The sequence below is a fragment of the Homo sapiens genome, chromosome 19 (genome assembly GCF_000001405.40).
Source record: "Homo sapiens chromosome 19, GRCh38.p14 Primary Assembly".
NCBI classification, from domain to species: Eukaryota; Metazoa; Chordata; class Mammalia; order Primates; family Hominidae; genus Homo; species Homo sapiens.
Window position 1 is genome coordinate 42,505,825 of NC_000019.10, and position 23,850 is coordinate 42,529,674.

The 23,850-nt window shown below is 46.8% G+C and overlaps 1 protein-coding gene and 2 long non-coding RNA genes across 10 annotated transcripts in view, besides 3 other annotated features; 2 read left to right on the forward strand and 1 right to left on the reverse strand.

Annotated features, from left to right (window-relative positions):
• LIPE-AS1 (LIPE antisense RNA 1) overlaps positions 1-23,850 on the forward strand; it is a 255,208-nt gene that overhangs the window by 108,677 nt on the left and 122,681 nt on the right. The window lies entirely within an intron of this gene.
• On the reverse strand, positions 1,482-22,657 carry CEACAM1 (CEA cell adhesion molecule 1). 7 transcript variants are annotated; one of them, NM_001184815.2, is made up of 9 exons: positions 22,487-22,657; positions 21,217-21,576; positions 16,100-16,378; positions 15,443-15,697; positions 9,187-9,279; positions 6,526-6,655; positions 5,752-5,804; positions 5,065-5,096; positions 1,482-3,404 (listed from the first exon to the last, which is right to left on the reverse strand). In NM_001184815.2, exons 1-9 carry the CDS (start codon positions 22,548-22,550, stop codon positions 3,285-3,287), a joined length of 1,386 nt encoding a protein of 461 aa, NP_001171744.1. In that variant the 5' UTR covers positions 22,551-22,657; the 3' UTR covers positions 1,482-3,284. The 7 variants fall into 7 exon arrangements, with proteins under 7 accessions (NP_001171744.1, NP_001703.2, NP_001171742.1 ...); NM_001712.5 differs by lacking the exon at positions 9,187-9,279 and adding an exon at positions 13,124-13,411; NM_001184813.2 differs by lacking the exon at positions 9,187-9,279.
• Positions 6,573-6,762: an enhancer, noted in NCBI's record as "active region_14720". NCBI's record gives its function as "activates an Ori minimal core promoter by ATAC-STARR-seq in GM12878 lymphoblastoid cells {active_cell/tissue: GM12878}" and the evidence as "EXISTENCE:reporter gene assay evidence [ECO:0000049][PMID:35858748]".
• On the forward strand, positions 16,934-20,045 carry LOC105372407 (uncharacterized). Its single transcript, XR_935974.3, has 2 exons — positions 16,934-17,541; positions 19,794-20,045. It is a non-coding gene; the product is annotated as an uncharacterized LOC105372407 (long non-coding RNA).
• Positions 22,665-22,734: an enhancer, noted in NCBI's record as "active region_14721". NCBI's record gives its function as "activates an Ori minimal core promoter by ATAC-STARR-seq in GM12878 lymphoblastoid cells {active_cell/tissue: GM12878}" and the evidence as "EXISTENCE:reporter gene assay evidence [ECO:0000049][PMID:35858748]".
• Positions 22,957-23,819: an enhancer, noted in NCBI's record as "H3K27ac-H3K4me1 hESC enhancer chr19:43032933-43033795 (GRCh37/hg19 assembly coordinates)". NCBI's record gives its function as "activates a minimal SCP1, AML or CMV promoter by ChIP-STARR-seq in naive H9 embryonic stem cells {active_cell/tissue: H9 hESC(naive)}" and the evidence as "EXISTENCE:reporter gene assay evidence [ECO:0000049][PMID:30033119]".

Genomic DNA, 23,850 nt, shown 5'->3' on the forward strand with positions numbered 1-23,850 from the left:
AGGGTAATGAGGCAGTCATATGCAAGAAAGATTTCGGAGAGACTGGAGACAAGAAGTCAAGCAAGACTTTGAGTGTTGTTGAGGGTCTGGGTCAGTTAGGTTTATGGGAATGGTGAGAACAGCATAACTGACAGTTGTTAAAAAAGGATCAAGAGGCTTTCACAATGTATTGAATCTGGAAACAAATGAGCAGGGGCTGTGGAAACTTAGGGGGTGTCACTGGGAGAAATGAGTGAGCTGTGTGGGAGAGCTTGTTTAAATGGGTAACTTCAGACAGTATTTGGATGTGGGTGTCATGAGTTCTGGAAGTAGTTGGGGCTAGAGATATAAATTAAGAGCCATCTCCAGAGAGGTCACTAAGCTGATGAAAGAGGGTAGATGGAGGGAGACAAGAAGGGTCTGAGTACTAAATCTGGTGTGGGGGAGCAGTCGTAAGTGGGAAATGGAGGGAGGAGAGCTTTCCAGAAGGGAAAAGTTGTCTGTCATCTTAGATATTGTAAAAGGAAAAAGTGTGAGGTCCCTAAAAATGCCTTTGGATTTGGCCAAGACATGGATACTGATTTTGTGCTGTTCCCAGCGATCTTGGGTAGGGAGGCACTGCAGAGGGCCAGGAAAAATTAGGTGATGAGGAAAGGCAAAGACAACACATGTGTTTCAATTGCTTGGAAGTGAAGGAAATGAGGTTATAGCTTAGTACTTAGCAGAATTAATAAATGAAGGCTATTCGGGTTAGAAGAGATCCGACCCTCCTAGAGGGCAGAATAAAGGAATTGGGAACCAGGAAGAGTTAGAAGGTCTAGAGGGATTTCTATGTGAATGAACCTGTGGAGACCCTTGTATAGCTACATCTGATTCACTGGAGCCGCTGGTGTGGGAAGTGTTGTTGGCCCCTAATGAAGAGGCTGGGAGGTCTTTTACTCATGAGATCATCTTCCCTCCCAGAGGAAGATAGGCACTTCCTCCCAGGCAAGTTGGAGCTGTGGTCTGTTGCTCCCAGATATACTCACTTTGTTAGCAGGTATGCAAATGAATTTAGCTAATTCTCTGATCACTAGATCAAATATCTGTAGGCTTAAAAATAGTTTCACGGCCGGGCGCAGTGGCTCACGCCTGTAATTCCAGCACTTTGGGAGGCCAAGGCGGGCGGACTGCCTGAGGTCAGGAGTTTGAGACCAGTCTGGCCAATATAATGAAACCCCGTCTCTACTAAAAATACAAAAAAATTAGCTGGGCATGGTGGCATGCACCTGTAATCCCAGCTACTTGGGGAGGCTGGGGCAGGGGAATTGCTTGAACCAGGGAAGTGGAGGTTGCAGTGAGCGGAGATTGCGCCACTGCACTCCAGCCTGGGCGACACAGTGAGACTCTGTCTCAAAAAAAAAAAAAAAAGAGTTTTACTCTGACTCCCCATTGAACAATTTGTTTATTCTGCCTGTAGAGAAAAACATTGTCCAAGGTAGTATCAACCATGAGGCAGCATGTCGATGTCTGATATATTATTTTTATTATAAAAACATAGAATAATTTTCATACATAATTCAGACATGATCTTAGCCAGGAAAAATTAAATAACACAGCACAGCATGGATGAGGGAAAGTATGCACAGTCCGTGTCAGGGTTAGAAAACCCTGAAAGAGGTACCTGAGTATAGAGAACTCCAAGCTAATCCTCCTGGAGAAAGCCTCTTAGGCCTAACATGAGATCAGGTAAGCAATATAGAATAAAACCTTTCTCTTAGCCCCAAAGAGATTCCATCTGTGTAGAAGACTGGGTGAGAAGTACATTTGCCTGTCTTCCTCCTGTCCTTCCTTTTTATTATAAGATACATTTATAGACCCCATAGAAGAAAAGATAAATTTCAGAGGCTGTTAAAAGAGGCTAGGCCTAAGTTATAATCCTCCTCCTCACAGCCCCATTTCCCCAAGGGGCATTAGCACCAGTGCAGCTTTCTAGCTGTAAACAATGCCACCAGCATGAGTGATAGTGTCCCTGTAGGGTGCTCCCACTTCTCAAGGACCAAATACACCTTAGCAGAGGCCAAGGTTTCCTGACAAAGTGAATGGGGGCAAACAGAAAATGCACAGGTGCAAACATGGAATAGAATGGTAGTTGATGATTGGTCTGAGGTGCCTAGAAACTGAGTTAAATCTAGCTCTAGCCATGAATGAAGAAAACCTTTTCTTATTTTCTATTTGGAGCCTCTGACAAAAAAAATCTTGAGAGGCTCCTGACCAAGGGACCTGAGGGATTTCGGTGGTTTCTTTCACCTAAGGCAATCGGATTGGCTGACATAGCTAAGCTAAGTAAAAATAACCCTTTTCACATAAATAAGCAGTTACAAAAATTAAAATGGTGGAATGTCTCAGAGAAAAGGAGAAAAATCCCAATACCCCAAATTGTGTATTCTTTAACAATAATTTAAATAATCGCTGAAGGGCAGCTCTCTGATTCCTTTCCCAAGTTCCTAGCAGATTGTGTTTATCAGAAGCTGGTTCCCTCCTGAAGCTATAACCCCTCCCTCTCAGCACTGCCTTGAACAGAGCCCATAAAGATATTAAAACATATATGTGCTTTTGCATTTTCCATCAGGAATTGCCTTGGATTTTGGCAAGTGATTTTCCTAGTTGCTTCTAGTGGGTTCTCTGAAGACAGGCTTGCCAGAAGGATTAGGTGGTATTCTAGCTAAGCACCAAGGTGCTTAGACCCTGATCCTACAGGTAGACAACCCTGACAGTGGACAAAGGTGTGGCATTTCACTATTGGTTATATATTTGATTTTCTTGTGTTTGGTGAGTTCACACAAGGCTTTGGAGAAATAGGAGAAGGCATTACTGCCTTTACTTTCTCTCTCTCTTGTTTCCTGGCACATGTACTTAATGGAAAAGGACATAACCTCAAGGCTATGGCAAATCCGAATTAGAGTGATAGGACAGGACTGGGGGTGGGAAGGAATGAGTGCTCTGAACAGGCAAGTTTAAAACAAGTCCAGGTTGGGAAAAGGGGAAGGGAGGGGAAGTTCTGGTCCCTCTTTCCCAAAGTCAGCTTTGCCAAATTTCAATGACAAGAAGGTTGGGTTTCCTACAGACTCCCAATGTACTTTCATCTATTGACACTGAGAGAGGGGCAGTGACCAGGCAGCCTGGAGATGCCTATTAGGAAGGAAGAGTAGGAGAAAGTTGTTTCTGTCCCCACCCCTCTACCCCTACAGGGGAAAGGAATCTCCTAGTGATGAGGGTGAGAGACTTGAAATACATCAGCACTGCAGTGAGCAGGACAGGTTTCATTACTGCTTTTTTACTTCTGAATAAATTATTTCTGTGGCTGTTAGGGATGGGGAGGCTGAAGTTGGTTGTGTGGGTTGCTGGGCTTCAAAGTTCAGGGTAGAATAAGTAACTTCATTCATCTGAAAAGCACAAATAATGATCAGTTAAGTCAGTGACACAGGGCAGGGCCTCACCTTGCCTGGTGTGATTCAGCACCACAAGCTGTTACCATTTTGAAATTTTAGCTCTGGAGAAGGGCTTTTGTTGTTACCCATTCTCTGCTTGCTGACCTCCTGATGAATGATCATTAGAAGAGAGAAATTATGGTATATATGCAATGGGATAGGATAATGCAGCAATGAGAACCAGCAAACCACAAATACATACAATATGGATGAGTCTCACAAAGCAATGTTGAAGAAGCCACATATAAGGATATGTTTTATTTCTCCTTTAGATAGGAACAAAACCAAGCAATACTAATCTGGAGCATTAGAAGTCAGGATAGTGGTTACTCCTCTTTGGAGGGAAGTGACTGGTAGAGTTTTTTTTTTTTGCGACGGAGTCTCGCTCTGTCGCCCAGGCTGGAGTGCAATGGCACGATCTCGGCTCACTGCAAGCTCTGCCTCCCGGGTTCAAGCGATGCTCCTGTCTCAGCCTCCCAAGTAGCTGGGATTACAGGCATCCACTACCACGCCCGGCTAATTTTTTGTATTTTTAGTAGAACAAGGTTTCACTATGTTGGCCAGGCTGGTTTAGAACTCCTGACTTCTAGTGATCCACCTGCCTTGGCCTCCCAGAGTGCTGGGATTACAGGTGTGAGCCACTGCACCTGGCTGGAAGGGTCTCTTTTTAAGGGGAGGTCATGTAGTATTTCATGATTTGGGTGCTGCTTACCTGGGTGTGTTCAACTTGTGAAAGTTCATACATTGTGAAAGTATAATTATGATTTAGCACTTTTCAGTATGTATGTTTGCTCTATTGAAAAGGTAAAATGAAAACTTCTTTTTTTTTTGAGACAGAGTTTCCCTCTGTCGCCCAGGCTGGAGCGCAATGGCGCAATCTTGGCTCACTGCAAACTCCACCTCCTGGGTTCACGCCATTCTCCTGCCTCAGCCTCCCAAGTAGCTGGGACTACAGGCGCCCGCCACCACAGCTGGCTAATTTTTTTGTATTTTTAGTAGAGCTGGGGTTTCACCATGTTAGCCAGAATGGTCTCGATCTCCTGACCTTGTGTTTCACCTGCCTTGGCCTCCCAAAGTGCTGGGATTACAGGCATGAGCCACTGTGCCTGGCCATAAAATGAAAAATTCTATAAAATTATTATTAAAAAACAGGATCTCAGATCTATTAAAATTGAAATTATCCTTTTGACAATAAGAGCAGGATCAGACTGAAGGTAGGGGAGTGAGAATGATTCAGTGCCTTCCTTTTTTAGGCCATTGTGCTGGGTGCTCTTTGTAGGTTATCTCGTTTAATCCCTTCAACTTCTCTTTGAAGTAGGCAGAATGCCCATTTTACAGATGACAAAGCTGATGATCAAAGAGGTTAAGTTACTTGACAAGGGTCACAGAGCTACTAAGAGTCACATCCAGTATTCAGACACAGGATGGGAATAATTCCAAAATGCATGTTCTTGCTGCAAAGTAGACTCATGGGAGTGATTACAAATACGTCTTTGTTGTTGCACTGAGGAACATTAACCCAAACTTGATGTTACATTGTGTCTTCATGAATAATCAATTCTACACAGAATCATTTCCATGAGAAAATAAGCCCATGAAAACCGGCTATGCTTACCTTGTTAGGTGGGTCATTGGAGTGGTCCTGAGCTGGAGAAGCAAAAGAAGAGTTAGCGATCCATGGAAATGCAAAGCTGACTTCAGGTGATTCTAGCTGAAGGAGGTGGCAGTTGGAGGGTGGGGAGTTTAAGGATCAGTTAAGGAATTTACTTCCCTCAGAGTGTATGGTCCAGACCCAGCATGTTAGTACCAGAGAGGGGGCAGGGGCAGAACCACAGGAGGCCACAATCCACTTGTGAAGAGTTCTACCAGTTCACAAGGCCTTGATTTTTGCCCAGATGTGTTTCTCAGCAACATGCTCCAGTGGCAAGGAGGGGCATTGAGACTTGTAGCACCCACAGCACCCACAAGATAAGGAAAGTCTCACCAAGGGAGAGTGCCCACATCCGTAATAGAGGCAGGAGGCGGAAGGAGTAAGGCTGAGGAAATGGCTCCTGGAAACATGGGATCTTCCTCAGGCCTGCCTGGCCTAGGCAGAGTGAGCCTCTCTCCTCAGATGTGTCTCAGGGGACTCCTGTGGCTAGGAAGGGTGGGAAGACCTATGCCACCTTAGGGTTGGGAAATAGAGATCCTTTCTGTGAAAATTCAGAAGGGAGGGAGTGGTTTGGGAATCCAGGATTCCCTGCCAGGGGAGGGCACGTGGTGGAACATACCAGTTCTCACTGGGGTAAGTGGCTTTACTTACTGTGGTTGGAGACTGAGGGTTTGTGCTCTGTGAGATCACGCTGGTCGCTTGCCCTAAATAAATATCAGAAACTGTGACTGCTATTCCCAAGCACAGGATCTTTGTTCCGTAAGTTAGGAAGGACACTGTGAGCAGGTAATTCCTTAGAGTCCTTGATGTTCATACTGCCTTTCTTCTGAGGGCCTCGTTCTTCAGTCTAACTACAATCCCTTCTAGTGTTTACTCTTTTCCTGTTTGCTGGATGTTCACATTTCATTTCATTCTTTATCAGCTGCTTCTGTGCCTACTTCTATCCTTAAAACCTTTCCCATTTTGTTTTCCGGGGTAGATACTTTTTTTTTTTTCTCTATTTATTGTTCAAGAGGACTTTGGTTGTTTTTGCTTTCTCTTAGGTTCTCTTCCTATGCTATTTCTCCCTCCTCTTCCAATGTGGTCAACAGAGCACATGACTTGCTTTCTCCTGCTGCTTCTTTCATTTTTTCATTTGTTTTCCTTCTTAGACCTTGCTTTCCCTGACTAGGGGACAGAGGAACATACTTGAGTCTCTTCCTCTAGATTAGATGGGGATTGGAATACCCATGTCCAAGAGATAATGGGAGACAGGGAGCACGAAGACCAGGGAAGAGGAAACCTGTGGGAATTAGTGCCGAGAAGCAGGAGTTTAGTGGGAGGAGTATGAGATCCAGGCCCAGAGACAGGCAAAGAATTCTTTCCCTCTCCCAAGCATGGCAGTCAGCCTTGGAGGAAACAGAACAAGAGGAAAGGCCATCATACCTGCCGGTCTTCCCGAAATGCAGAAAACATGCCAGGGCTACTGCTATCAGAGCAACCAGGGCCACTACTCCAATCACAATGCCAGCAATGGCCCCAGGTGAGAGGCCATTTTCTTGTGGTAGAGCATTATCTGTCATGGAGAGAAAAGAGGAGAAGAAATGAAAGTGAAATTATTTTACAATGGGGGCTGGGAAACAACTCTCAGAATGAAGTAGTTTCTAATTGTTCCTTCAAGGAATACAGTTTCGTTGTGGGAAGGTTGCTGGAAGGTGATTAGCTAACTATATCCTTGCAATTTTTTTTTTTCAATCACCATGTTTCTTTTTTTCTTTTCTTTTTTTTTTTTGAGACAGAGTCTTGCTCTGTCTCTCAGGCTGGAGTGCAGTAGCATGATCTTGGCTCACTGCAACCTCCGCCTCCCAGGTTCAAGCGATTCTCCTGCCTCAGGCTGGACTACAGGCACGTGCCACCACACCTGGCTAATTTCTGTATTTTTTTAGTAGAGACGGGGTTTCACCATATTGGTCAGACTGGTCTTGAACTCCTGACCTCATGATCCGCCTGCCTCGGCCTCCCAAAGTGCTTGGATTATAGGCGTGAGCCACTGCGCCCAACCCCAGTCACCATGTTTCTAGGTTGATGATCTCTCTTCTGCCAATTCCACCCTGGCTTTTCTGCGCTCAGCCATTTTTAAGGCTTTGAAATATGAGAAAGGCTGATTGCTATTTTGTATGTGATTAGAACTTTCCACCTTTTTCGTGGTTGCATCTTTTTCTCAGTGTCTCAGTTGTGGCAGTTGGTGCATTCTGAATTCACCACCTCTTTTGCATAGAGAACTGGCTTCCCACAGGCTCCCAGCAGGGGTATGAAAGCTAGCCCAGTTTTGTGTGACTGTTTTATTCTGAAGTGTGAATGGCTGGAGGACTCCCTGTCAGCCTTGCAGAAATGCTCTTAGAACTGCACTGCAGGCCGGGCGCGGTGGCTGACGCCTGTAATCCCAGAACTTTGGGAGGCTGAGGCGGGTGGATCACGAGGTCAGGAGTTCAAGACCAGCCTGGCCAAGATGGTGAAACCCTATCTCTACTAAAAATACAAAATTTAGCTGGGTGCGGTGGCAGGTGCCTATAATCCCAGCTACTTGAGAGGCTGAGGCAGGAGAATCGCTTGAACCCGGGGGGCAGAGGTTTCAGTGAGCCGAGATCACACTACTGCACTCAAGCCTGGGCAACAGAGTGAGACTCTGTCTCAAAAAACAAACAAACAAAAACTGCACTTCAATCTAAAACTTCCTTCCTCTCTTTCTCTTCCACAGGAATCAGATCTGCATCATGGTCTGAGGTTCCTCTCACTCTCGCCTTACTTTCCCTCACAGGCATTTTCCCCAATAAATTATCTCGTATGTTTAATCCCATCTTCACTGTATCTCAGTAGATGGAAACTAACATACCAGGCTTGAGACTTTGCTTTACCTCCTTTTTTCCCCCTTTCCCATATTTGATCATAGCCATGTCCCAGTGGGTTTCTTGTATAATGCTTCTCCCTCCATATATATATATATATATATATATAATATATAAATAATACCTTTTGCATCTATTTCTTCTTCTTCTTTTTTTTTTTTTTTTTTTTTGAGGCAGGTTCTCACTCTATCACCCAGGCTGGAGTGCAGTGGCACAATCATGGCTCATTGTAGCCTCTTGGGATCAAGTGATCCTCCCACCTCAGTCTCCTCAGTAGCTGAGACTATAAGCACATGCCACCACACCTGGCTAATTTTTTTCTTTCTTTTTTTTTTTTTTGAGACCGAGTTTTGCTCTTGTTGCCTAGGCTAGAGTGCAATGGCGTGATCTCGGCTCACTGCAACCTCTGCCTCCCAGGTTCAAGCGATTCTCCTACCTCAGCCTCCTGAATTGCTGGGATTACAGGCATGCGCCACCACGCCTGGCTAATTTTGTATTTTTAGTAGAGACGGGGTTTCTCCATCCTGGTCAGGCTGGTCTTGAACTCCCGACCTCAGGTGACCCGCCTGCCTCAACCTCCCAAAGTGTTGGGATTACAGGCGTGAGCCACCACGCCCACCCACCTGGCTAATTAAAAAAAAATAATTTTTGTAGAGATAGGGTTCCACTATATTGCCTAGGCTGGTCTTGGATTCCTGGGCTCAAGAGATCCTCCAGCCTCGGCCTCCCAAATGTTGGGATTACAGGTGTGAGCCACTGTGTCTAGCCTATTTCTTGTTTATATCTGTTGCAACTATTTGGGGCTTAACCCTCACCAGTCAACTCAGGCTGGTGACTAATGCTATGTTAGCTACTTTTGTGGAGTACTTCCTGTGTGCCAGGCCCTGTGCTGCTAAATGCTTTACATGTATCTTATTTGATCCATAAAATAGTGCTGTCAGGTAGACATTATTTCCATTTTAAACATGAAAAAATGGAAGCTTAGAGTGGTAAAAGGCTTACCTAAAGTCAGATGGCTAGTGAGAGGTGGATCTGAGATTTGACCCTAGGACTACCTGATTTCAAGGCTAATGATAATAGTAGTAGTAATAGCAGCTAACATTTATGAAACATTTCCTCTGTGTGTGGTGTTTTGCTGAAGGTTTATTATTACATTAAATCTTTAAAATAACACTATGGGGCCAGGCGTGGTGGCTCACACCTGTAATCTCAGCACTTTGGGAAACAGATGGGAGGATTGCTTGAGCCCAGGAGTTCGAGTCCAGCCTGGGTAACATGGTGAGATTCTGTCTCTCTGAAAACAAAAATAAAAATAAATTAGCCAGATGTGGTAGTATGTACTACTTAGGAGGCTAAGGTGAGGGAATTGCTTGAGCCCAGGAGGTTGAGGCTGCAGTGAGCTGTGTTTGCACCACTGCACTCCAGTCTGGGTGACAGAGTGACACCCTGTCTCAAAAACAAAACAAAAACCCCAAACCCGTGCAATACTATGGAGCAGGCATTCACAGTGCAATTTTCGGTTGAGGAATCCGAGGCTCAGAGTAGTTAAGAATCTTGTGCAAGAAAGAAATTTATAACTGTAGGCCAGGTACAGTGGTGTATGACTGTAATCCCAGCAATTTGGGAGGCTGAGGCAGGTGTATCACTTGAGCTCAGGAATTTGAGACCAGCTGGGCAAGATGGTGAAACCCTGTCTCTACAAAAAATTACAAAAATTAGCCGGAGGTGGTAGTGCTTGTCTGTAGTTTCAGCTACCCAGGAGGCTGAAGCAGGAGGATTGCTTGAACCCGGGAAGTTGAGGCTGTGGTGAGCCATGATCAGCCTCGGTGACAGAGTGAGAACCTGTCTCAAACCGAAAAAAAAAAGTTGTTCTTCAAAAAAGATCACTATAATTGACAACTGTTAATTAGATTGACTAAGAAAGAAAGAAGATTCAAATTACTAAAGTCAGAAATGAAAGTAAAACATTACTACTAATTCTGCAGAAATAATAAGGATTATAAGAGTACTATGAGTAATTGAATGCCAACAAATTGGATAACCTGGATGAAATGAACAAATTCCTAGAAACACAAAACCTGCCATGATAGAATCATGAATAAATAGAAAATCTGAATAGACCTATAACCAGTAATGAAAATGAGTCGATAAAAGCATTTGACAAAATTCAACATTCTTTCATGCTAAAAAACACTGAAACTAGGAATAGAAGGAAATTCTCAACATAATAAATGCTACATGTGAAAACCCCCAGCTACCATCATAGTCAATGGTGAAAGATTGAAAACTTTTCCTTTAAGATCAAGAACAAGACAAGGATGCCTGCTTTTGCCATTTCTATTCAATGTAGTATTGGAAGACCTAGACAGAACAATTAGGCAAGAAAAAAAAAGCATCTAGATTGGAAAGAAGTAAAATTATACCTGTTTGCAGAATACACTAACTTATATATAGAAAACCCTAGAGATTCCACAAAAAAACTGTTAGAATAATAAATTTAGCAAAGTGGCAGGATACAAAATCCACATGCAAAAATCAGTTGTATTTTTGTATACTAATAACAATTCAAAGGAAAATTAAGAAAAAAATTCTATTTATAAGAGCTTTAAAAATACTTAGAAATAAACTTAACCAAAGAGGTGAAAGATTTGTACCCTGAAAATACAAAACATTGCCAAAAGAAATTAAATAAGACATAAATTGAAAAGACACCCCATTTTCATGGATTAGAAGACTTAATATTGTTAAGATGACAGTACTACCCAAAGTGATCTACAGATTCAGTGCAATCTCTATCAAAATTCCAGTAATATTTTTTGCAGAAATAGAAAAATTCATTCTAAAATTTATATAGACTCTGAAGGGACCATGGATAGCCAAAGCAATCTTGAAAAAGAACAAAGTTGAAGGGCTCACACTTCCTGGTTTCAAAATTTTTTACAAAGCTATGGTAATCATCACACCTGTAATCTTAGCACTTTGGGAGGTGGAGGCGGGTGGATTGCTTGAGCTCAGGAGTTTGAGACCAGCCTTGGCAACATGGTGAAACGCCATCTCTACAAAGAAAAGCAAAAAAACAAAACAAAACAAAAAAACCCAAACAACAACAATAAAACAAACAAACAAAATCCAAAAGCTACAGTAATCAAAACAGTATGGTACTGGCAAAAAGAAATAGAAACCAGTGGAATAAAATATAGAGCCCAGAAAGAAATGTTTGCATACATAGCCAAATGTTTTTTGACAAGGGTGCCAAGATCATTCAGTGGGGAAAGGATAGTCTTTTCAACAAATGGCATTGAAGAAACTGGATATCCATGCAAAAGAATGAAATTGAACCTTTATGTAACACCATATATAAAAATTAATTCAAAATGCATAAAAGACCTAAATGTAAGAGCTAAAACTATAAAGCTCTTGGAAGATAGAGTGAAAACTTTGGAACATTGAATTTGGCAATGATTTCTTGGCTATGACACTAAAAGCATAGGCAACGAAAGAAGAAGTAGAGAAATTGGACTTAATGAAAATTAAAAGCTTTTGTGTATCAAAGCACATTATCACAAAAGTGAAAAGACTTCTTATAGAATGGGAGAAAATATTTGAGAATCATATATCTGATAAGGGATTAATATCCAAAATATATAAAGAACTACTGCAACTCAACCAAAAATCCCCAAACAACCTAATTAAAACATGGGCAAAGGACTTGAATAAACATTTCTCCAAAGAAGATAAATGGCAAATAAGCACATGAAAAGATGCTAAATATTGCTAATCATTAGGGAAGTGCAAATCAAAACTCCAATGATATACCACCTTATAACCATTAGGATGGCCATTATAAAAAACAAAACAAAACCAGAAAGCAACAAATGTTTTTGAAGATGTAGAGAAATTGGAACTCTAGTGCATTGCTGGTGGGAATGTGAAATGGTATAGCCACTGTGGAAAATGGTATGATGGTTCTTCAAAATTAAACAGGATTACCATTTGATCCAGCAATTCCACTTCTGAGTATCTATTTAAAAGAACTGAAAGCAGGGATTTGAACAGATATTTGTATACCCATGTTTGTAATAGCATTATTCATAATAGCCAAAAGGTGGAAGCAACCTAACTGTCCATAGATGGATGAGTGGATAAGCAAAATGTGATGTATCTATCTACACAGCATAATATTATTCAGTCTCCAAAAGGAATGAAATTCTGATACATTCTACAACATAGATGGAGCTTGAAGACATTGTGCTAAATGAAGTAAGCCAGACACAAAAGGACAAATATTGCATGCTTCCATCTGTATGAGAGGTACTTAGAATAGTTAAATACGGGGTGGGCAGAGTGGCTCATTCCTGTAATCCCAGCACTTTGGGAGGCCGAGGCTGAGACCAGGAGATTGAGACCAGCCTGGGCAACACAGTGAAACCCCAACTCTACAAAAAAACTTAAAAACTTAGCCAGGCATGGTGGTGCAACCTGTAGTCCCAGCTACTCTGGAGGCTGAGGTGGCAGGATTGCTTGAACCCAGGGGATTGAGGCGGGAGTGAGCTTTGATCACACCACAGCACTCCAGCCTGGGTGACAGAGTGAGACCCTGTCTCAAAACAACAAAACAAACAAAAAAACCCAACCAACCAAAAAAAACCAACTAAGTATATGTATATTTGATTCAGAGCCTGAGCTCTTTTTTTTTTTTTTTTTTTGAGACAGAGTCTTGCTCTGTTGCCTAGACTGGAGTGCAGTGGCACCATCTCGGCTCACTGAAAGCTCCGCCTCCCAGGTTCACGCCATTCTCCCGCCTCAGCCTCCCGAGTAGCTGGGACTACAGGCGCCCGCCACCATGCCCGGCTAATTTTTTTTTGTATTTTTAGTAGACACGGGGTTTCACCATATTAGCCAGGATGGTCTCGATCTCCTGCCCTCGTGATCCGCCCGCCTTGGCCTCCCAAACTGCTGGGATTACAGGCGTGAGCCACTGTGCCCGGCCTGAGCTGAGCTCTTAACCACTTTGCAATTCTGTTTGCTATAATGGTCTCTTCATTGATATTCTGCCTCCTGTGAGTTTTATCCATTTTGCACACCATTGACAGAGTAATCCTAGAGGGACATATAGGAAGGGGTGAGGAGTCACTTACAGTTTACGTTCAGCATGATGGGGTCGCTTTGGTTCTTACTGATTGGGTTGAAGACCTCACACCAATACGTCCCAGCATCCTCCCTCTTGACAGGGTTTATGCTGAGGGTGGTGTTGCCCTGGGACAGCTTCATCCTCTCCGAGGACGGGAGACTCTGGTTTTTGAAGAACCAACGGATGGAGATTCCAGTGTCATTTGTGGAGCAGGTCAGGTTCACAGAGTCCTTATCTCCTGTGACTGTGGTCTTGCTGGCTTTGATTTGGGGCTTTGCTACTACTGGACTTAGCTCTGTGGACAAGCAGAGTATCTGAGATAACCTACTGAGAATAGGGTTGGGGCCTGGGGCCTAGGGCTATGCTCCTTTCCCTGAGATTTTAGCCAGCTCTCAGGTCCCACAGTGAGCTGTGCAAAGGTCACCAACCAGGGGATAGCCCTGACCCTCTGCAGAAGGTCGAGTGTCTTTGTTCAGGTGATGAATTGTAAGGAGAGGGCTGCACCTCCCTCCTGACCCCAGATCGTCTCAGAGTGACCCTCTGGATATCTCTATATCTCCACTTGGAATCTTCTTCTCAGCGCACAGACCGAGCAACCTCATCATCAGGTAGAATGTTTTTCCCACTGACTTTTTTTTTTTTTTTTTCAGACGGAGTCTCGCTCTGTCACCCAGGCCGGAATGCAGTGGCATGATCTCAGCTCACTGCAAGCTCTGCCTCCCGGGTTCAAGCCATTCTCCTGCCTCAGCCTCCCGAGTAGCTGGGACTAAAGGCATGTGCCACCATGCCCAGCTAATTTTTTGTATTTTTAGTAGAGACGGGGTTTCACCATGTTAGCCAGGATGGTCTTGATCTCCTGACCTCATGATCCACCCGCCTCAGCCTCCCAAAGTGCTGGGATTACAGGCGTGAGCCACTGTGCCTGGCCTCCCACTGACCCTTTCCTGGAGCTGTGATCAGGCATCCTTCCTGTGACTGTCACTTTACATACAAAAGGGAAGGTAGTGTTTTTTTTCATTAAATAATTTTTTAGGGAATGATGATGCCCCATCCAGTCTTCATGACCTTACTATCTGGAGTTCCAATCCGAAGGATTTCCCACTGTAAAGAGGAGTTTTACTTCCTGGTCTGTGGATAGAATATCACGGTGAAGGAGATTCCTAGAGTAGGCACAGTGTTAACAAAAGGCTGATATTCTTACCTTCTCTACAAATACACGCTGTTTGGCATTGCCCATTCTCTCCAATGCAGAGCCCCTGTGGCTGAATCTCCCGATTTCTCCAAGTGTGGGTCACTCGCTGTGCTCTGTGCTATCCCATGTGCTGTGCCCACAGCCTCATACAGCTGGTGACTTCAGAGCCAGGACAAGCTCAGGGAGGCAGCCTGACCCAGGGGAGGCTCAGGTGTTGACTGCCTTTATTTATTTATTTATTTAGTTTTTGAGACAGAGTCTCTCTGTGTTGTCCAGGCTGGAGTGCAGTGGTGCCATCTCGGCTCATTGCAACCTCTGCCTCCCAGGTTCAAGTGATTCTTGTGCCTCAGCCTCCCTAGTGGCATGCCTAGTGGCATGTGCAACCATGCCTGGCTAAATTTTTTTTTTTGTATTTTTAGTAGAGATGGAGTTTTGCCATGTTGGTCAGGCTGGTCTCGAACTCCTGACCTCAGGTGATCCTCTCACCTCGGCCTTCCAAAGTACTGGGATCACAGGCATGAACCACAGCGCCCAGCCATTGACTGCCATCTTGATTTAGCTGGATTCATGACAGGCCACCTGGACACCTTCTGCACACACCTGCGTCCTACCCCACATGGGGTCAGGGCAGAGCCAATCACCGGGCAAGCCGGGAGTAGAGCAGGGAGCAGAGTCTGAGCTGCTCATCCCTGATGAAGGGCATTTCCTTCTCTCATTTAGGGAAAACTATTGTGAGTCTGTTTTAAAACCTCACATATTCCTTATATCTCATGGAATAGGTAAAAGAAGGCCAAGAAGTTACAGAAAGGGACATGTTAGTGACAGAAGCAAATTGACCTTGAGGACCCTTTCTGCTTCCCCCTCTGTGAAGCCCCTCCTGCTACACGGGGCTTTCTGGGGCTGAGAGAACCCCCTCCCCACATTCCAGGCTGGACCTAAGGTCAGCTGTGAGAAATCAGAAAAACAAAGGGAAGAGAGTCTGCACAGATGAATTGAGAGGGTTCAGGGGAGAATTTGGACTTGTTTGTGCCTGTTGGATACAGGCTGCAAAAGAAAATTTCTTCTCTGCTCCTATTTGAAAACCAGAAAGCTTGTACCCCAGATCTTAGTGTTGATGCTCCAGGAATTACTTACCAGTGACTATGATCGTCTTGACTGTGGTCCTGTTGCAGCCAGTGACTGAGTTATTGGCGTGGCAGGTATAGGATCCACTATTATTCACAGTGATGTTAGGGATAAAGAGCTCTTGTGTGCTTTGCTGGAATGTTCCATTGATAAGCCAGGAGTACTGTGCAGGTGGGTTAGAGGCTGCATAGCAGGAGAGGCTGAGGTTTGCCCCTGGACGGTAATAGGTGTCTGAAGGGGAAATGGTGGGGGTGTCCGGGCCATCTGGAGCAAAGAGAATAAAGCCACAGGTGATGTCATCAGAGGGAAGGGGAAGCTGCTGGTCTGGAGAAGGGCCACAGTGTTCCTCTCTACTAAGTCACAACCCTGAAGTCCTAACCAAACCTCCATTGTGTCCACTGAGTCTGGGTCTGAGACATTCACCTGTTTCTCCCATCACAGGCTGTGGACCCTGAGCCTCCCAGGACAGGAGCAGCCTCTCCCCTCCTATTCTTGGTTCAGGCTGGGGCTGCCCAGGTTTGCCTGGGGAAAGGAAGTCATGGCCAGCCTGGGTGTCCAGGGTTAAGGGTCTGCGTCCTTAGACCTGAGAGGGACTGAGAGGCCTGGCCTCTGGCTGCGTGGATTTGGGCTGGCAGCCTGGGCCACAGAGGAACAGAAGATACTCACAGGTGACATTCAAGGTGACTGGGTCACTGCGGTTCGCACTCACTGGGTTCTGTATTTCACACTCATAGGGTCCTGTGTCATTCCTTGTGACACTGAGTAGAGTGAGGGTCCTGTTGCCATTGGACAGCTGCAGCCTGGGACTGACCGGGAGGCTCTGATTGTTTATCCACCACAGGTAGGTTGTGTCCTGAGTCTCAGGTTCACAGGTGAAGGCCACAGCATCCTTGTCCTCCACAGGGTTGGAGTTGTTGCTGGAGATGGAGGGCTTGGGCAGCTCCGCTATGCAGAAAACAGAGAGAAGATTGCCCTGTGTGGCACCTTTGATTCCTCCACAGGCATTTTTCTTTTCTTATTTATTTATTTTTTTTGGAGATGGAGCCTCGCTCTGTCACCCAGGCTGGAGTGCAATGGCACGATCTCGGCTCACTGCAACCTCCACCTCCTGGATTCAAGCAATTCTCCTGCCTCAGCTTCCTGAGTAGCTGGGATTACAGGCACATGCCACCATGCCTGACGGGGTTTCACCGTGTTGCCCAGGCTGGTCTCAAACTCCTGAGCTCTGGCAATCCGCCCGATTCGGCCTCTCAAAGTGCTGGGATTACAGGCCTGAGCCACCGTGCCTGGCTGGGCATTTTTCTTTCTTTCTTTTTTTTTTTGAGACAGAGTCTCGCTTTGTTGCTGAGGCTGGGGTGCAGTGGCACGATCTTGGCTCACTGCAACCTCTTCCTCCCGGGTTCAAGCGATTCTCCTGCCTCAGCCTCCTGAGTAGCTGGGACTACAGGTGCATGCCACCATGCCCGGCTAGTTTTTTGTATTTTAGCCAGGATGGTCACTGTTAGCCAGGATGGTCTCGACCTCCTGACCTCGTGATCTGCCCGCCTCGGCCTCCCAAAGTGCTGGGATTCCGTCCGGGCATTTTTCAATCAGAGTTGGCATCTCCCCACCTCTCAGCCAACCCAAGTCCCTAAAAGCCCATGGCAAGTGTGTGTTTCACAAGACAGATGTGCAATGATCTGAGGGCTCAGAGACCGTGAGGCCGCCTGCTCTGTGTGAGAGAAGCACAGACTTTCTCAAGTGTGAACTGAGCAGCAGTGTTGGGTCGTGGACAGACCGAGGACTGGGAGTCACAGCCCCAGGCACTTCTGGTCCTTCCCTGACTGGCTGATGCCTGCCTGACCCACCTGTGGGTCCTCACCTGGAACATACAGGTGCTGGGTCCCTTCCAGCTTCACAGTCCTACTTTGCCCCACTAGGTGTGTTTTCTCTGCAGCTTCCCTGTCTGAGGACATCCTAGAGATGGGTGATGATGGGACTTCCTATTGTCCTTAAACCCTGAGGATACTGAGCAGCCTGGCCTGGGACTGTATGTTTCAGCAGAAATAACAGGGGACACCAGGGGCAAGCCTGAAGGTAGCTCAGTCGTCAGGCAGCAGAACCACAAGGTGGGGCAGTTTTTCCCAGGTGTTTGATGATGACTGACTTGAGCCAGTGACCCCCTAAAGATAGAGCAGAGTCCAAGGAATGATCTAGAAAAGAGTGAGGGTGACAGGCAGGGGCTGCCTGGATTTAACAGCATATCTACGTTCCTTGTCTTTGGTCTTTAATGTCCCTTTTCCCCCTGAAAAGAGCAGATGATGACACTGTGGATCTTTTCTGAAATATGTGGGTTTTTTGCAAATGCAGAATAACCAGCTAGTGGAACGGAAGGAGCATGAACTTGCTGAAAGCCTGACCCTCATGGACCGTGTGTGTTTGGTAGATCTGGGATATAAATTTGAGAAGTTAAATTATTCCATTTGTGAAAATTGTTATTAATACTCTGGATCTAACACCAATTAATAAGAGGAATATTCTCTAGAGAGCGTGATAAACTCTTAAACCAAGCTCTGAAGTCCAGTAGGATCATGTTATGATCAAAGAAAGATGCTGAAGTCAGTTTGAAATCAGTGACTCCCTGGGTAGAAGGGACTCATGGGTCCTGTTAGGAAGACAGAACTTGTCAGAAAGGATATCTGAGAGTTCTCAATTGCATTAAGAGAGAAACGATGCCATATGAGGAGAAGTGATGTATGTTATGTTAGTAAATTTAGAAAGAGTTCTATGTTACAAATTCCTGTGGAAATTCAGGTAAAAAGAGGAACCCAAAACAGTCATGTGAAATGCTTTCTTCCTTTTCTCTCAACCTCAGGAAACACAACTAGAGTTTGACCAAATTCATCCAAATTGGGCAGAGTCTAAGTGAGACACCAGTGGCTAATGCATCTCCCTGTCTGAGAGATCCCACCTTATGACAATGGTGTCATCATGAGGACACAGGTGTAGGTGGAATGGGCAGCAAACCCATCAGACAGCACCTGCCTGGCTAGCTCTACCTGGGGAAGGTCCCAGGAACCACTAGAGGATGTGAGCCCACAGCAGAACAGGGATGGAGTTAGGAGTCAAATGGGTGAAATGAGCCCATGGGCTTTGGGGACTGCAGACCTGTCCTTCTGCCTCTGATCCCCTGGTGAGTCAGTATAGAGAGTGTATGGAGGAGTCGCTCGTCCCTGTCCCCTGGCCTGTTCCACATGTCAGCCTCACTGAGGGACGTGGGGACAGTGGCTTATGATGGACCTGGCAGGGGTGGCTGCTCTGGGCTCATTTCTGTGCCTTTCCTATTGCCTGGGAGGTGGGCCTGGCCACAGTGTGAGCGGGAAGGGAACAGGACAGTCAACCTTGTTAGACGGAGTGTCTGGGAAAGGCCTAAGGGTGGAGGAAACTGTGCAGTTCAGCTGGGATAAAAGGAGAGGAAAATGAGGACATGGAGGAGCAGAGAGAGTCAGAGATGCCCATGACAGTGAGCAGTGGGGGCTAAGTGACCTTAGAGACCCCAGCAACCAGGAGCCTCTGGTGTCCCAGAACCAAGACCAGGGAGCCCTGAAAACCTTCCCACAGCCGAGCAGCCCCAGAGTCACATGAAATATGGTACTTGGGGTGGCTTTAGGGGTAGATGGTCAGGGGATGGAACATGGGTCTCAGTCTCTGGAGGGATGGGGAGCAGGTATGGCAAGAACCTCCCAGGATTCTGCAACCAGATCCAGTCTCTAAAGAGGTTATGGATCATTCAATCATTCATTCATTCGTGAGAGAACTACTGAGTGTGTGTTTCATATTGGGCCCTGGCTGGTGCAGGGTGTGAGTGAGGAGAGAAAGCAAAGTCCTTTCCTTTATCCTCCTGTGGGAGTGACACCAACACATCAGGAAACACAGGATTTCAAGTCCAGGGAGCAGAGGTGTGGGTCTGAGGGGATAGGCCTGAACATTTTTTTTTTTTTTTTTTGAGATAGAGTCTCACTCTGTCTCCCAGGCTGGAGCACAGTGACATGATCTTGGCTCACTGCAACCTCTGCCTCCTGGGTTCAAGCGATTCTACCACCTCAGCATCCCAAGTAGCTGGGATTAGAGGCACGCACCACCATGCCCGACTAATTTTTTTTGTATTTTTAGTAGAGATGGGGTTTCACCATGTTGGCCAGGCTGGTCTTGAACTCCTGACCTCAAGTGATCCGCCCACCTTGGCATCCCAAAGTGCTGGGATTACAGGTGTGAGCCACCACACCTGACCCAGGCCTGAACATTTCTGACACTGACTCTAATTGTTGAATAAGTTCCAGAATAAAACTTGGTTAATTCTCCATTTGATCTCACTCCCCAGACCAGGATCTCCCCTCTGGGCTGCAGATGCCTAAGAAGAAAGGAACTGAACCAACTCTGGTATTGGGGTCCACAGATGCCAAATAAGGCCCCTGGAGTAGAGGAGAGGTTAAGACTGTGGCTGAAGACAAATCTCCTGTAACTGATCTTCCAGTTACGGTCTGTGTGACCTTGATATAGTGACTGTATTTATTGCCATGTGGCTCAGTTTCCCCTCAGTGAAATAGTATAAATGGTTAATGGTTTTGGCTTATCTTGTGGTCTGTGAATTAACCTTAAAATATTTATAATTATTTGACCTCAGCTCTGCATAGGGGAGCTGCCCAAATAAACAATCTTATTTTATTTTATTTTTTTGAGATGGAGTCTCGCTCTGTCACCCAGGCTAGGGTGCAGTGGTGTGATCTTGGCTCACTGCAACCTCTGCCTCCCAGGTTCAAGCAATTCTCCTGCCTCAGCCTCCTGAGTAGCTGGGATTACAGGCACGCACCACCATGCCCGGCTAATTTTTTTGTATTTTTAGTAGAGACGGCATTTCACCATGTTGGTCAGGCTGGTCTTGAACTCCTGACCTCATAGTCCATCCACCTCGGCCTCCCAAAGTACTGGGATTACAGGCGTGAGCCACCGCTCCCGGCCGCAGCATCTATTGTTGTTGGATTCCCTGAGAGTGCCTCTCAGCCTGATCCCTGGTGGACAAGGAGCTTTCAGGAGCATCCTGTCTCCTCTGTTCCTCCTCCTGGGGATGGTAAACTTCCTATGGCATCTCCTAAGCCCCCAGGGCAGTTGGCTGATGGCCTGGGGAGCTTGTCCATCTGTCCTCTCCAGGCTGAGACTAAGGTGAAGGATGAGGCTCCATCCTTGCCCAAATGAGGCTCTAGTGCCTGAACCCTGGCTGGTTACCAGCTCCAGGAGCCACAGCCCTCGGATAGCTCAAATTCTTGTTCCTAGTCAGCCCTGCCCAGGAGGCCACAATCTAGCCCTGGCCCAGGCTCCTCAGGGTCACCAGGAGTTGAGAACCTTGGGATAGTGTTTTGGAGCAGGGGATTCCCAGGGCTGAGCTTGTCTGTGAGGATCCCAGAAGGCCCTTCAGGCCAGACCCTGACTGAGTCCTACTGGGTCTTTCTTAGGGACATGTTCACCAGGAGGGTCCCGGGGGGCTAGATTGAGACTGGTCTCCCCTCGATAAGTTACCCACATCAGATTGTCCTTCCTCTGAAGCAAATGTCTGCAGGATCAGGACTCCAGAGTAAGACATTCGGTATTTTGATGTCTGTCCCATAGTGTGTCCTGCACTAGATGCTCAAACCTTAACATGGGGTATAATGCAGAGGAGGACACAGGCACAGCCCAGGCCTGACAATCCCATGTGTGGGAAGTAGAACTAACCCCCCAACACCCAGAGGTCATGGGGAAATACTCACGGTATACATGGAACTGTCCAGTTGCTTCTTCATTCACAAGATCTGACTTTATGACTTGTAGGGTGTAGAATCCTGTGTCATTCTGGGTGACGTTCTGGATCAGCAGGGATGCATTGGGGTATATTGTCTCTCGACCGCTGTTTGCGGGCCCTGGGGTAGCTTGTTGAGTTCCTATTGCATATCCTACAATTTGACGGTTGCCATCCACTCTTTCCCCTTTGTACCAGCTGTAGCCAAAAAGTTGCTGGGGCAGATTGTGGACAAGGAGAAGAACCTCCTTCCCCTCTGCAACATTGAATGGCATGGATTCAGTAGTGAGCTGGGCAGTGGTGGGCGGGTTCCAGAAGGTTAGAAGTGAGGCTAGGAGAGAGGAGAGAGCATCAGTCAATATTGGGACCTATGCATTAGGGTAGAAAAATGGGGCCTTGGGTCCTGAGCAGGTGTCTTCACCCCTCCACCTTGGAGTGTGTGTGTGTGTGTGTGTGTGTGTGTGTGTGTGTGTGTGTGTCCTACTGGGTCAAGGTCAGCAGTGTGACTCCCATTCCCTTAGTGCCTCTGACCTTGTCATTTCTCTGGAATGCCCTTCCCCAGGGATCCGCATGGCTCCCTCCCCACTGCCCTCAGATCTTGATCACATCAGGGTGCTCTTGGGAGATCCTTTCCCTGACACCTCCCCTAGAGACCCTGGGTATTCCCTTTCTGACCTTTTTCTGCTCTGTTCCCTCCAGGGCTCTTGTCAACACCTGACCTCACATTCTAGATCTCTTTGCTTGTCTGTCTTCCCCACCCATGAGAGCGTGAGCTCCGTGAGGGCAGGGATTTGTGTGATGTTGGTTGCACCCCAGTGCCTGGGATAGGCTGCAGACTCCTGTGGATGAGTTAGTGAGCATTCCCAGGGCTCTTCATGTCCTGGGGTTTATTTGCCAATATCTGAGGTTGGTGGCTCAGGGCTCTGTTTAATGCCCCTTTTAAAATGTTTTCCTTAATTGTCACGCTGACTTAAATTGTGATTATTGTCAGCAGTTTTTGAAATTTATTGCTCATTGATGATTCAGTTGGAAAAGGTAAAAAATGGGAGATTGTTTATTCACTAACAGTTTCAGATCACTGAGACTTTCCTTTTATGATCTCTATCCCTTTCATGTCCTCTCTCCTATTTGGCTCCAAGAGAAGCCCTCTGTCCCCTCTTAGAGCTCCATCCTCCCCAGAGGACCCTAGCCATTCTCTGTGCGCCCTCTTTCCGCCCCTTCCCAGGGTGTCCTCCCCTCACCTGTGAGCAGAAGCCCCTGCCAGGGTACACGCACTCTGTGAAGTGGGGCTGAGAGGTGCCCCATGGTGTCTCCTGCTGGCCCTGTCTTCACCTGTGGAGGAGAGCTTGGGCTCCAGGAACGCTTCGAGCACGGCTGCTCTGTCACCTCTGCTGTTTTCCACTCTCTGTGCTGAGCCTCCTCCCTGGGGCCCAGAGCTTTGTCTGATCATGTGTGCTGGGGCGGGGTTTGTCCAGGAAGCTCTGTTTCCTCTCCTCTCATTCCTACCTTTGTCCTTACTTTCTCTTTCCTTTCTGTCTACATTTTGGTTTCCCAGACCACACTTTGAGAATCAAGGCTGATGAGACCTCTGTCCCCATCAGGGGAGGAGGATCCCCCCTCTCCAGCACTGACCTCTATTGTGTCCTGGCTATGGGTCTGTCAGCAGCACACAGAGAACCCTGGCATATCCAAATGTGGTAATTATTTTCTTTGCAACACAGTGAGCTGCCAGGTCTCCCCATGCTCTTCAGTGTGCTGGGAAGGTAGGAAGACACCCAGCAGGAAGGTGACAGAGGTGGCTCTGGGGGATGGAAAGGGGCTCACTGGGGGATGACTGGGGAGGGACCAGCCCTCTGTCTCTAGTGTCACCAGCCTGGCCTCTAACCCAGGGACAGAGACCCAAGTCCAGGGGTCTCAGGTGGAGCTGCAGCTCCCGGATATGGAGGGGGAGGTGTCCTGTGTGTCCTGGGAAGAGAGGACTGTGATAGAGGGAGGTGGGTGGCTCTGGGCTCTACTGTCCTTGGGGAAGACTTCAGGGGGACCCTCCCTCCCTTGAGCTGAGGCTCAAGGCCTGTCCATGTTCTCCCTGACCATCCTGGGTGGTCTCTGTCCTCTGCGAGGCTGATTGTCCTGTGGTCACCGCACCTTCCCCACAGGTGGTGCCAGGAGGGAATGGGGAGCTGCACAGGGACCCCTCACAGAACAGGGTCCTCAGAGGACCCAGGAAGGGACAGAGCAGGTACATGGGAGGGCCTGGAAGGGTGTTTTGGAGCAAGGGATGGAAAGTGGGCTCTACCTTCACCTCCTTAGCAAAGCCAGGTTCATGACCAGGGGAATGTTTCCTGAGTGTTGTCTGTGTGCAATGTCTCCCCCTGGAGGGCAAGACAAGGCCTGCAGCCTTGTCAAGGGCTGCCCCAGGGATGCTGACCAGGGTCTACATGATGTGAGCTGGCCCTGACCCCTGGGCAGATGTGGGCTCTGACCTCCAGGCTTCAAGGTCAAGTCACCCCAGGTCCTGTTCACTGCGGGTCCCCAGGCTGCCCAGCTCCATGCGGTGCAGGATGAGCCCAGGGAGAGGACGTGAGTTGTCCAGAGGACTTCTGTC